The following is a 14440-nucleotide window of genomic DNA, read 5'->3' as shown; positions in this document are numbered from 1 at the left end:
GGATGTACCACACTTTATTCTACCAGTTCCCTATATTAATAGACATTCAAGTTTGTCATGTTTTGCTGTTAAAAATAGTCCTGTAGAAATAACATACTGCATAGGTCTTTTTGTATTTTTGCCAATGTATCTATGATGAAGAGTGAGATTGCTGGGTCGAAAGGTATGTAGTTTTGCAGATACTGCTGTAGTCTCCTTTGTAAGCATTATACCATTTGCATTCTCACCAAAATGTATGAGGGCCTATTTCTTTCCCCATAGTTCTGTTCTGGAATATGTTGTCAAGTTTTTGAACTTTTGCTAGTATTTTGTTTGTTTCCGTTTCTCTTAGTATGAGTATCTTTTCATATTCAGAGCTATTTCTATTTCTTTTTCTGTAAACTGTCCGTTTCCGTAGCTTATTATTCTATGCAGTTAGTGTTTTCTTTCTTTCTAGTTTTTGTTTGTTTGTTTTTTAAGACAGAGTTTCGCTCCTGTTGCCCAGGCTGGAGTGCAATGGCGCAATCTCGGCTCACCACAATCTCCGCCTCCCAGGTTCAAGCAATTCTCCTGCCTCAGCCTCCCGAGTAGCTGGGATTACAGGCATGCACCACCACGCCTGACTAATTTTGTATTTTTAGTAGAGACAGGGTTTCTCTATGTTGGTCAGGCTGGTCTCGAACTCCCGACCTCAGGTGATCCGCCCACCTCGGCCTCCCAAAGTGCTGGGATTACAGGCGTGAGCCACCGTGCCTGGCCTAGTTTTAGAGATTCTCTGCCATTCAAAAGTTTTATTTATTTATGTATTTATTTTTTGGAGACAGAGTCTCACTCCGTCGTCAGGCTGGAGTGCAATGGCACCATCATGGCTCACTATAGCCTTGACCTCCCCAGGCTCAGGTGGTCCTCCCACCTCAGCCTCCAGAGTACCTGGGACTACAGGCACACGCCACCAACCCTGGCTAATTTTTGAATTTTTTTTATAGAGATGGGGTTTTGCCATGTTGCCCAGGCAGGGTCTTGAATTCTTCGGCTCAAGGGATCTGCCTGCTTCAGCCTCCCAGAGTGCTGGGATTACAGGCATGAGCTACCATGCCCAGCCCAAAATTTTTATTTTTATGTAGTCTAATTTATTGTACCATTACCTCATTGCTTGTGGATTTTTGAGTCATTTTTTCAGTAAAGATTGCCCCACTCCTTGGTTACTTTTATTCCTGTACAGTTTGTTCTCCCTTCCCTTCCCTCTTCCCCCATTCACTCCCTGGCTTTCTTTCCTTATGTAAATCTCTGATTGATTTGGAATTTGTCCTGGTGTGTGGTATGAGGTATAGTTCCAATTTTATCTTTTTCCAAATGGATATCCAGTTATCCCAACATTACTAATTTAAAAGTCTTTCCTTCTCATTGATTTGAGATGCTCTTATTTTTATTGTTTTTAAATATATTTGTATATTTAAGTGGGTTTTTCCTGAATTCTCTATTCTGCTCCCTTGGTCTATATTCATGTGCCATAACAACATTGTTTTAATTATAGAAGCTTTATAATATGTTTTAATACCTAATAAGGCCGGCTTTCTTCTTTTTCAGTATGTATTTTTCTGGCTACTTTTTCTTGTGTTTTTCTTTCAAATCAACTTGCTCTGATGATGATAAAAGAAAAACCTGATGGTATTTTTATTTGTACTACATTAAATGTATAGATTAATTTAGGGAGAACTGGCATTTTTATAATGTTGTGAGACTTTTAATCCAAGAAGACGGTATGCCTTTCCATTTATTCAATCCTATTTCTCTGTCTTTTGGGAATGCTTTATATAATTTTCCTCATATAGGTTTTTGATATATTTTGTAAGTTTACATGTATGTTTTTTATTTAATATTGATTTTATTTTGATATTGCATTTATTATTCCTTCTTTGAATTTTATTTGTATATGAATGTCATTGAATTGTATATGTTCATTTTATAACCTGTTACTTTACTAAATTATCTTTTGTTTTTAATAATTTTGCCATTGATTAGTTCAGGTTTTCCTGATAATTATACAAGATGGAATTTTAAAATTTTCTTAACTTTTCTATAGAATACACAATTTTTCTAAGTTACTATGAATCAGGAGTTTGGGCATGTTTCTGGAGGTCATACTTAACCTCTGTGTTGTATTGTGTATGTTCAAATTTCTTGTGTGCCATGACCTGTGTAAATGATATTATTTGTTTAATAACAGGAGTTAGAAAGGCAGAAACATATGTGTAGTGTGCTGCAGCATAAGATGGAAGAACTTAAAGAAGGCCTGCGGCAAAGAGATGAGCTTATTGAGGTATGTACATGAACTGTGGGAATACTTAATTTTGAAAAAAAATGAGTTGAATGGGATGAGGATGTGTTGGGAGGGAAGGAGAGTTAAGATGCATCAGAGTTTGTCTCTTTATATTTGACTGTACACTACAAATTTTCAAACATAAACCAGATTATGCTTAAAAATTAATACTATAAATCCTATAAACATTACCCCACTTTGGTAGCAGAAATTTTTGTGTCTTTTATTCCTAAGCACACTGTTTCCTACAGATATCTTAGGAAATGGGCAAAAGGAAAAATTATAGAATAACATTATTCTTTGGAATTAGTGAATGCCATCTTTTGGGACATGATTCTTGGGGAATAAGTTTGATTTTCACTCAGGTAAATACATTTCTCAGGTGGCTAAATGAAAAAAGAAGAAACATCAAGATACGTTCTGTACAAAAAGGTAAAGAATGGTTAGTCTGAAGGTTCAGGTTTCTGCAAGCGAAGGGACTCTGCCACATTGCTGGCAACATCTTAGGAATGGAATGAAGCATAGTCTACCAAGAACTCTTTGAAAACATTAGTCATCCTTGCAGGCCTGCTACATTGCATGCATCTTTTTTCTTTAAATGTGGTTTTCCCTCCTGAGACGATGTTTTTAGATAAATATGGAAATAAGTTTGAAGGGGGATCCTGCCCACTATCTAGGTGTGGCTATCAAAGGCATCTAATGTTAAGTTAGTGTTGACACGCCAGAGATGTCAGGAAGCATAGATTGTTAATGATCCCAGGAGAGAGATCTCACAACCACACTTGTCCACATTCCTGGCTACTCAGACCTTAGCCTTTCTTTTTCTCTCCCTCTTTCTCTCTTTCCCCTCGGACCTACCTCTTAATATGTCTCTCTACAAATGATTTTTAAAAACCATTTAATAGAGAAAAAGAAATGACTTTAAATTTGAAGACGTGTTAATTTTTGTCATCATTAAGAATAATTGAACATACTCAGAATTTGTGGATTTCAAGTGCAGATACAGATAACCTTTTGGATCTATCAGATTACATGTGAAGTTAATTTTCTTGGTTTTTCTCCATATAAGGTAGGAAGCATATTTTCCAGAATCTGTATCCTGCTGGTATTTTAAAATAATGTGAAATTCTTTCCCTTTTTGTTCTTTTATCTTTTTGTGCCAAAATGCCAACCACATAAAATAATAAACCTGCTTTGGGGGCTGCTTCTCAAATTCAATAGCTTAAGTTAGGACTGGTAAAGTGTTCTAGTAATTAATTGTAATTGCATTTAAGAAGAATATAATGCTTGATTTCTATAGTTCATCACTGTGGCTTCTTTAAAAGCTTAGGGTGCTAGGTATACAAACTTTGAGAACTATAGTTTTAGATGTTTTTTACATCTAGAATGAACATCTTTTAGATGTTAGTATCTATGGTTATGCTGAAAAACTTTAAATATTACAAATAATGTTTTTTGGTCTTTGGAATTGAAAATTCCATGGTAAAGTACCTAATGTATGAGTAGGGAAAGGAGGACATAATAATTTACCAATAATGCATAAGAAGAAAACCTGTTAAGCACCATTGCCTAATTAGAAAGGTCATTTAAGGATTGTTAAATGCTAAATTTAAATGTTTCAAAATAATATAATTTTAAAATAATACAAAATTCATGGTGTTCTTGCTGTCATAGATTTTGCTAACAGAAATTCAAAATGATCAGTTCTGCTTAAAAAATAAAATTCAAAACTGCTTGTTCTCTAAGATGAAAGATCATTTGTTCATAAGCAAACCTAAATTTCCCTCTCTAGGAATGTAAGTTCTTGTTTGGTAAAAAGGCAGTTATCAAAGAAAGAATATACATATGGAGCTGTATGTACACAGAAATTCTAGCTGGCTTGCTGCCACGTAGCTGTGGTTGGAACAATTATTCCTGGTTCCTTTGCTTACTTTTGTAGGGGCAAGCCAATAAGAATCTTGTGGCCAAGACTGTGAATGTCATCTTTTCTTTTGGCAGACCAATTTTGCTTTTCCTGTTCATCACAGACTTTCCCTTTTGGTTAAGTTTCTTTATCGGCTTTATTTTTGTTTCCTCCCTCAAACCTCCTCTCCCTTTTCTTTCTGCTCTTTTATTACTTCTCTTCCCCTCTTCCTCTGCAGGAGAAGCAGCGCATGCAGCAGAAAATAGACACCATGACAAAAGAGGTGTTTGACCTCCAGGAGACACTTCTTTGGAAAGATAAAAAAATTGGGGTATGAAATGAAATTGGGCTTTGGTTAGAAGCTCATTGATGAGGACTACAGTAGAATTTAACCTAGAGATTGAAAAAACCTGTCCTTTTGATTCTTCTTGAGCATTTACACAGTATGAAAAATGAGTCAGTAGGAGACAGAGACTTCCATAGGAAAACCTGACGTTGTGCCTGGAAGAACTCTTCTTTTCAGCAAACACTAGGCTTGTAAAATGTATAAGTAGGAACTTTTAAAGGAAGTTTCTCTGTATTCCCTTAGGATTCTTTTTTTTTTTTTTTTTTTTTTTTTGAGACGGAGTCTCACTCTGTTGCCCAGGCTGGAGTGCAGTGGCATGATCTCGGCTCACTACAACCTCTGCCTCCTGGGTTCAAGTGATTCTCCTGCCTCAGCCTCCCGAGTAGCTGGGATTACAGGCACACACAACCATGCCCAGCTAATTTTTTGTCTTTTTATTAGAGACGGGGTTTCACCATGTTAGCCAGGCTGGTCTCCAACTCCTGACCTCAGGTAATCCACCCACCTTGGCCTCCCAAAGTGCTAGGATTATAGGCGTGAGCCACCATGCCTGGCCTCCCTTCAGATTCTTATCCAGAAACAGCCACAGGCATTCAATTCAAACTCTGTGGTTAACTTGATATCCTTACGTTACAGGAATTTGGATAAGAAGAGGGTAGTGGTGGGGAGAAAGTTATTAGCATCCTATAAATCCTTGGTGTATAAAATAGGAAGAGATTAAAATCAATTCAATTACAGAAATGGATAGGAATGTAAGACTTTCTAGGGTGGCTGTCTGTAATTATAACCACAGAACTCCCCCAAGTAAGGGCCCAGATAAACGAAATGTCTTCATTGCTGTTTTGCTAAGCCTTGCAGGTAGATTCCATGTACACCAAAAGCTGGAAAAAATTCCCTCCAGTTCATCTCATGTGGCCTTTGATTGGCAGTCCCATCACCTGGCTGAGCTCTCTGTTCTACAGTAGGGGAACCACTTAGCCATAGTTGCCAGAGGCTTACCTTGTCAGGGAAGGGCAGAGGAAATAGAACATGTAAGAAAAGTCTTGTTCTGCTTAAGGTTAGGGGGAGTAGGGAATAGTTGTTAAAGATCCCTGAGAACATCTCTTGAGAGACAGGCCTGGATATGAAATCCTGTGGATTATACCCTCAGAATGTTGTTAGGAACATTCTGAAGCCCAACCAGTAGTCAGCAGGATCCAGTCTTTTTCATCACTTCAAGGACCTCTCTCATTAATATACACATGGGAAGATTACATTACCTCTTAAGAGTTTGTAGGCTCATGCCTGGAATCCTAGCACGGAGGATCGCTTGAGGCCAGAGGATTGCTTGAGGTCAGGAGCTTGAGACCAGCTTGGGCAACATAGTGAGACCCACCCTGTCTCTGCAAAAGAATTTTAAAATTTGCAGAGCATGCACCTGCCCCAGCTACTTAGGAGGCTGAGGTGGGAGGATCACTGGAGCCCACACGATGGAGGCTGCAGTGAGCTATGATCGTGCCATGGCACTCCAGCCTAAGCAATAGAGTGATACCCTTTCTTTAAAAAAGTTTGTAGACCAAAAATTTAAAGAACAAAAGCTACTTTATAGATAATTCTCTGACTTTCAAATTGCTGAGTATTAAAAATTCCATCTAAACCTAGAAAAGCCTTCTGGGGAATAAATCAATAATTCTGTTAGGTGTTTTGAAACTATGATTTTAAAATTGAAATTTGAAATTGAAAAGTGAAATTTGATTGTTGAACCATTGATTTGATTTAAATTTTTGCTTGGGAAATATAAGAGGTGAAAAAACGTGGGGCAAAGTAGGTAATTTAAAATTTTTAGTTAAAATCTGGTCACTGTCTAGAATGGGCTTCTTTTAGGACTTCACATAATTTTCTTTAACACAGATCTGTAGGCCCAGGATTTCTAGCTTGTATGAGTGCCTTAATATTTTAAACTGATAATCTTGGACCAGCCATAGAAACCCCTCAGATGTCTCAGTTTAAAATATAAATTATTTGGCTTTTAATTGGAAAATATTTTATTTTAGTATTCTTTTTTTGAGATGGAATCTCTCTCTCTCCCCAAGGCTGGAGTATAGTGGCACGATCTCAGCTCACTGCAACCTCCTGGGTTCAAGCAATTCTCCTGCCTCAGCCTCCTGAGTAGCTGGGACTACAGGTGTGCACCACCACGTCCGGCTAATTTTTGTATTTTTAGTAGAGATGGGGTTTCACCATGTTGGCCAGGCTGGTCTCGAACTCCTGACCTCAAGTGATCCACCCACCTCGGCCTTCCAAAGTGGTGGTACTACAGGCATGAGCCACTGTGCCCGGCCAGAATTTTAGATTTACATGCAGTTGTAAGAAATTAAACAGGGCTGGGCATGGTGGCTTATGCCTTTAATCCCAGCACTTTGGGAGGCCAAAGAGGGTGGATCCCTTGAGGTCAAGAGTTCGAGACCAGCCTGACCAACATGGTAAAACGCTGTCTCTACTAAAAATACAAAAATTAGCCAGGCATGGTGGTGCACACCTGTAATCCCAGCTACTTGGGAGGCTGAGGCATGAGAATCACTTGAATCCGGGAGGCCAAGGTTGCAGTGAGCTGAGATCATGTCACTGCAGTCCAGCCTGGGCAACAGACCAAAACCCTGTTTCAAAAAAAAAAAAAAAAAGAGGAAATTTAACAGAGATCCTATATATTCTTTGCTCAATCTTCCCCAAATGTAACATCTTACAAAACTATAGTACAATATCACAACCAGGATATTGCCCTTGATATGGTGAAGATACAGAACATTTCCATCAATATAAGGGATTTCTCCTCCTCTTGCCTTTTTATAGTCATAGCCTTAATCTCCCCTTCCCCTCCCAAGCCCTAAGAACCACTAATCTTTTCTTCATTTGTGTAGTTTTGCTCTTTTAAGAATGTTATAAAAATGGAATTATATAGTATATGTTAACCTTTTGGAATTATCCCTTTTCACTCTGTATAAGTCCCTCAAGATTCTTCCAAGTTATTGAATCACGAGTTGACTCTTTTTTAATTTGAAAAATTGTGCTAAAGTACAAATAACATAAAATTTACCATTTTAACTATTTTTAAGTGTACAGTTCAGTGGCATTGAGTACATTCATGTTGTTGTGCTACTGTCACCACCATAGAACTTTTTAGTCTTCCCCAGCTGAAATCTGTACCCATTAAACAACTCCCCATTCAGTCCCTTCTCCCAAACCCCTGGTGGAATGGCAACTACCATTCCACCTTCTGTCTCTGTGAATTTGACTGCTCTAGGTACTTCATGTAAGTGGAATCATACAGTATCTGATTTATTTCACTTGGCATTATGCCCTCAAGGTTCATTTTGCAGCATATGTCAGAATGTCCATCCCTTTTAAGGCTGAATCATATTCCATTGTATGTATATACCACATTCTTCTGTTGATATATCAACACATCTACCTTTTGGCCATTGTGAATAATGCTGCTGTGAACATGGGTATTCAAATAACTCTTCAAGACTCTGCCTTCAGTTGTTTTCGGTATGTACCCAGAAGTGGAATTGCTGGATCATATGGTAATTCTGTGTTTAATTTTTTTGAGTAACAGTTATACTGTGTTCTGTAGCAGATGTACCATTTTACATTCCCACCACTAGTGAACAAGGGTTCCAATTTCTCCATGTCCTTGCCAACATTTGTTATCATTATAATACAAGGGCAGTGGTCCTCCCTTGACTTTTAAGACACATTTTCAGTATGGTCAGTAACTACTTGTCTCTAGCTTCATTTTTAAGATTTACATTTAGTAACTTAATGAAGAAATATGTCCATTATTCCCAGGTTAAAGTTCAGTTCATTAGTGGTCTTGCCTCTAGCTCCACTGCGGTTCTAAACACCAGGAGCCCATGTATAGAATAGGTGCGTATGAAGAACTTGCGTATCTCTATAGCCCAGCATAAACTCACTTCCATTCTGACCAAAGATATTTGTTCCCCAGTACAATTATGTGGAGAATTAACCCCTTGCCCAAAAGTTCAGCCCATTATACACATCCTTTTGGCTTCCGGGTGGTAGGATTTGAGGTTAGGTCAGGGATAAAGAGTTATTTTGAACTCTACAAGCGTGTACTTTTTACCCTAAAAAAAATCTACTGTAGGAGCTATTGTTGCACACAAACACAAGGGTAGTGGTTATATGGTCAGGTAATACAGAGGGTTTTAGATCCAGCTTGAATACATTTGATCCAATTATAAGGTATTTTAGTAGTCTTCAAACTTTGTGGTGAAGTGGGTGAATTTACAGGATGTATTTTATTTTCTCATCTGTAATTATGGGAAGAGGAAATTAAAAAGTCCGAAGGTAAAAATAAAACCCAGTGCAATACGATGTGGAAGAAGAGCAAATGTCATGTATATCATTTGCTAGAATTCCTAGTTTCAAATTGGCCTGTTCCTCAGAGGTCTTTTTTATTCAGTGTTGTTGTTTATGTAGAGCATGTTGTGACAGTGATCATTTACCCACTTATATGTGGTGATACATGACATAACTATGCATGCAGATACCAGTAACCAAAAATACCTAATCCATAAAGTGACACTCAACACATGGGAAAGTATTGTTGTGCTTTGTTTTCCCAATGTTTCAGTTATTATTAATTATTAACATAATGGAGTGTTAACACTAGCTAGATGGTGCTAGAAATGCACATTGTTAATTCACAGGCAGACTTGAGACACATCATATAGTGTGAATGTAAATTGTTGAAAAGAAGTCAGATATTGACATTGCAGTTTGGATAAGTAAAGAGTAGGATTTGCCGTATGGACTCCTTTCCTAGCATCATCTGGGCTAACAATAAGGGAATATAATGTGGCCTTCATAGAGCTGTGATATTTAAAAAACTATTTAAGGGCTTTGGAAACAAAAACAACCAGATTCATTTTCTGGTTTTGCCACTTACTGTGACTTTGGGCGAAAAAATATAACCACTGTGAGCCTCAATTTTCTGATCTGTTAAATGGGGATAATACAAGTACCTCACAGGATATGTAGAGGTTTCAAATGTAAAATAATGTATAAGAGAGAAATTATATAAAATAGTGCCTGCCATATAATTTGTGCTATACAAATCGTAGTTGCTATCATCCCTTATTTACTTGCTCCCTATTTGGTTGCAAAACAGGATTATAATGATTTTTTGAATTGCCCAGCTATTCAGCTATCAATTTCTCAGCAATTCGCTGTCCCACTTCCAAACCCAGTGAACTGAGAGGAAAGTTACCTGATATAGTTTAACTTCTTGGATTAATGGGAATGCTAACAGAAGACATTAAATATATGAACAAAAATATTTGGGGAAAGGCTTTTTCAAATAGGCCAGTAATCAGATTCCTGCATAGACTACTTACCTTGGGTGTATTTTTAATTCTGGGTTATTTTCTTTTACAATAGATTTTATTTTTTCATAGTAGATTTTATTTTTCATTGATGACCAAAGTATGTTCCTGCTTCTGCATTGTCCTCAGCTGACAGTTGTGAGATTAAGGAAATGGCAGGGAATTTACAAATGAAATCACCAACCTGATTCTCCTGAACTGTCCCTGCTATCTAGGCATTACAGGCAATGCTTTACCTTGATTTATGCCTCTGCCCTTGGGATGGGTGCTATTATCCCTTCTGTTTTTCCAGTGAGGAAACTGAGGCATAGGACAAGTATGTGCCAGAACCCAAAAGCCTGATTCTGAAATCCATATTCTGTAACTCTTCATAGCTTGGCTGTATTTATTTTGTCAGTGTTTATTTTTGTTTTTCACATTTTGGGAGTATAACAGAAAGCCAAATGAGTCTCAGTTATATTTAATTAAGTTGTCAGAAGTTGATCTTTGAATCCTTTTGGAGGTTAACTATTTTGAATTAAGTGGTATTTGAGTATTTTGCCACACTACTTGGAGAAAAATCTACAGCCAATATTAAATTAAAATACCTATGTATAATAGTTATTTTTATTCCAGAACTATTTTTTAAAAAATCAACTGTATTCTTGAATAAACTAGTTTAGTTAAACATGAAATGTGGGGTTTTTTTTGTTCACCAAATAAAAATGCACTTAGGCAGTCAGTAAGGAAAGCTTTATTTTACTCTGGCTTCTCTCTTTATCTTCCTTTTCCTGTTTTATTTTTTTCATTGACTGGAAAAGATTTATTTCCCTGCTTGATGTGATTAAACATGTTTTGCCAAATTGATGCATGAGAACCAGTTTCTATGAGAAGTCTCTTCTGGAGATGTATATCCATGTAACTCTGTATTTCCTCCCATATCTGACTGTTTGTTTCCAATCTTTTGACTGCTTTCTTGCTTTTTATGCCTTTATCTTTGCTTATTTGAATTAGGTACTTCTCTGCTACCTTTCACCTGCTCTTTTTCTGTGCCATTGTTTCCCTTGCTACCTTACCTAAAACCAGGCCCTAGAGAAACAGAAAGAATACATTGCCTGCCTTAGGAATGAGCGAGATATGCTCAGAGAGGAGCTGGCTGACCTGCAGGAGACAGTGAAGACGGGAGAGGTATGTTAGCATTAGCCTGGAATTCAGGTCCCTCACTGTTTTACTCTCTATCTTCCTTCCTTTCATCCTGCCATCTTTCCTAGCCTAAATACAAACTACAGTGTTTATTCTCTAATCCAGATTTGGTAGGTTGAAGCTATTTCTTACACAGAGCTATATTTCATGTAACTGATTCTAACCAGGTTTTACCTGTAGCAAACATGTATTGTTGCAGAGTGACCTCACAGAGCTTACAGCTTCCATACGGGCCTTTTGTGATGGTGGGTTTTTCCCCCCTGCAGAAACATGGCTTAGTTATAATCCCCGATGGCACTCCCAATGGTGATGTCAGTCATGAACCAGTGGCTGGAGCCATCACTGTTGTGTCTCAGGAAGCTGCTCAGGTCTTGGAGTCAGCAGGAGAAGGGCCATTAGGTAAGATACTGGTTGCTATGTTGACTTGGATTAATGTTACCCTATTGGGTTTTCTGCTTTTTCATATCCCAGCTTGGAAAACAAAAACAGCATAAGGGCTGAGACTCAAGTAGATCCTTAACTAGAAGAATCTGGGCACATTGGCACATTGTCTTCAGACATCCTTGACCTTGGGAAATCAGCATCTGGGTCACTGTAAGGCAATAAGTGTAACTGTAAGGCCTGTGGATGGAAGTACTATGGGCCTATACACATCGGTTTTTACTTAACTACAAACTGTTCTGCAAAGAGATAGTCTAGTATACCTGTGCTAGGGGAGCAGTAGGCTAGCAGGAGACTTCTCAAGTGTGTTATAAGTTTCTCATCCTTGGAACATCTGGTTTTATGTTCCACTGCTTACCCCAGGGTTCTGTACCTCTTTTCCACCACATTTCTTAAGCCAAGAAACAGATGACCAAAAAGATATCAGAGAAGTATGACTTCCAGAGCAGGGCTTCCCAGACTCTTAAAGTCTAAACCTCTTAAATTTAACCCTTTGAGAATCTGACACCTCTCTCCAGGAAACCACAAAGTTGCTGACACCTCTGTCTGAGAAATCAAAGTCACCCATCCATTGACCCCACAAAGAAATCTACTCTAGAGGAAGAAAAATGGCACAGATAGATACTGTATCATTAGCTCACTTTTATTTTAAAAAAAAACAATTTTTTTGTTTTTCATCTTGTTTTCATATATGTGTAAGCTTCTTAGAGGAGTGAGAGATACAAGTGTGAAGCAAACTGAAAAACATTTTGAAAGTTAGTAAGCACATTCTCTAATGTGCATTCCAGAAATGTGATTGTAGGGCACTTTGAATAAAACAGGATGCTGGGTGAGCAAGAGAGATCTGGAGAATGGAACGAGAGTCTGGCTATAGGCAGCCCAGAGTGTTTCCCTGCTGTTTTTTCCCTCGTCTGCAGGTCCAAGCAGGCAGATCTGCTTGGAAGGTGCAGAAGAAACCAAAATCTTTATTTGGCTATGACCCTGTTTACAGAGGGTAGTGGTTGGCGAGGTATCAGCTGCTTTTTTAAGTGAACCATGGTATCTCCTCAGCTGAAGGGGCCTATTTTAATGCAGGCTTGGGAAGAGTCAAACCTCCACAGGCTAGGAGTGAGCCCTAATGGTGCTGCCACCAAGCCGCAGATCTACCCATGGATGCCCACATCTTTTTTTTTTTTTTTTTTGAGACGAAGTCTCACTCGGTCGCCCAGGCAGGATTGTAGTGGCGCGATCTCAGTTCACTGCAACATACAACCTCTATCTCCCAGGTTCAGACGGCTTCCCGAGTAGCTGGGATTACAGGCGCCTGCCACCACGCTTGGTTAATTTTTGTATTTGTTTAGTAGAGACGTGGTTTCACCATTTTGGCCAGGCTGGTCTTGAACTCCTGACCTCAAGTGATCCACCCACCTAGGCCTCCCAAAGTGCTGGGATTACAGGCGTGAGCCACCACACCTGGCCTGGCTGCCCACATCTTGGAGTGGGTCCCCTTCCCTCCCTACTAGCTTTTGGGGACTTTGCTTCTTCCAGCATTATGCTCCTCTCTTTTCTCTTCTCTAGCTTCCTTTGCCCAGTCCTGCTCTTACCCCATCTTCTTTCACATATTTGGATCTCTCCCGCTAAGGGCTCAGCCTTTAGGAACACACTTGACATTTGAGTTGTCTGTCTACTAGTGAAAGCTTGAAACAAGGAAATGACCTCCTTTGTACTTCTGTTTGTCTTTAAGTGGCAAATCACTGCTGTGGGGAACAAATGTTGGATTTGGTGCCCTGATAAATATCAGTTGTGTGGAAATACTTTTTAGATAGTTAAGAACTTTTCTGTAATGCTATTAACACCTTTATTTCTTTAGATATTCAGAGCTGTAAGTAATGTAATTTATCAGATAATATTAGCTGTTTATGAGTTTGAAAAATTTTTAATTGTTTATGTACTATATCATCACATATTTAGTTTATGATCTTTTTCATTTGTTTTAGATGTAAGGCTACGAAAACTTGCTGGAGAGAAGGAAGAACTACTGTCACAGGTAAAGGCATTCTTATTGGAGTGTAATATAATTTTAACAAAGTTACATGGTAAAATACTGGCTAATTGAAATGTTCATTAAAAAAATATGCTTCTTTCAAACATCAGTACTCAAGTGAGATATGAAGGATAGATAATTCATATTTTACCTCTTTGTTATTTTCTGTTCTTAAAACATTTTTTTAAGGACACATAGTTTAAGGAGTCATATAGTTTTTTACAAAGCTTGTTATGAACACAGCAGTCCCCTGCCCTGGCTCCTCTGACCTCGCCCCTGACCATTTCTGTTAAATACTTTTAGCTGATTCTTGTGTACTGTCCTTGTATCTCTGTATAACATACTTATGTTGCATCTTGATTGTTCTGCTTCAGGCATTCTATATTGACATCCTTTTATGGAAGATGAGGATTTAGCTGTTTTTCATCCTTTGTCCCTGCCACACACATACTTATTTTCCACTCTTATATCCTCCTAATAAAGGAACAGTGTAATTCCAGCCTGCTTGTGTCATTAGGACCCTCTAAACACTACTCACACAGTGGAGCCAGGTTGCATTCTAGGATCATCTCCCTCAGAACTATTAGTTTCCTCTAAAGTTAATGTTATGGTTTTTCTTTGTATTTGCTTGGTTTTCTATCATCAATTTAGCCACAGAATCTCCAAGAGTAGATTAATCCCACTCAGTATTTTCAGATGCATCTGGTGTTATTTCAGTTCCAGTTTGTTGAATCTTGGTGCATCTGACTTGTCCCTTTCTAAACTAGTGACTTGCCCTCTCGGTACATAGATGTGGTCACCCTTCATTGGCATCTGGAGATTTTCTTTGCATGTGATTTAGGTTGGGTTCCCTTTTTCCGGT

The 14440-nt window shown here is 38.3% G+C and overlaps 1 protein-coding gene across 55 annotated transcripts in view; it reads left to right on the top strand.

Moving 5' to 3' along the window:
• Positions 1-14440, top strand: part of LRRFIP2 (LRR binding FLII interacting protein 2) — a 123735-nt gene that overhangs the window by 99038 nt on the left and 10257 nt on the right. For 27 of the 55 annotated variants that reach the window (NM_001348304.1, NM_001348301.1, XM_006713396.2 and 24 more), the window contains 5 exons: positions 2207-2299; positions 4441-4533; positions 10998-11099; positions 11381-11513; positions 13532-13581. In NM_001348304.1, the coding sequence (NP_001335233.1) occupies positions 2207-2299; positions 4441-4533; positions 10998-11099; positions 11381-11513; positions 13532-13581 (471 nt within the window). The remainder of the gene's footprint in view (positions 1-2206; positions 2300-4440; positions 4534-10997; positions 11100-11380; positions 11514-13531; positions 13582-14440) is intronic. The other 28 variants (NM_017724.2, NM_001134369.2, XM_024453826.2 and 25 more) reach the window with 3 other exon arrangements.

Source organism: Homo sapiens, chromosome 3 (assembly GCF_000001405.40).
Source record: "Homo sapiens chromosome 3, GRCh38.p14 Primary Assembly".
NCBI classification, from domain to species: domain Eukaryota; kingdom Metazoa; phylum Chordata; class Mammalia; order Primates; family Hominidae; genus Homo; species Homo sapiens.
The sequence above is the reverse complement of the archived record's forward strand: the minus strand, read 5'-3'. Positions and strand labels throughout refer to the sequence as shown.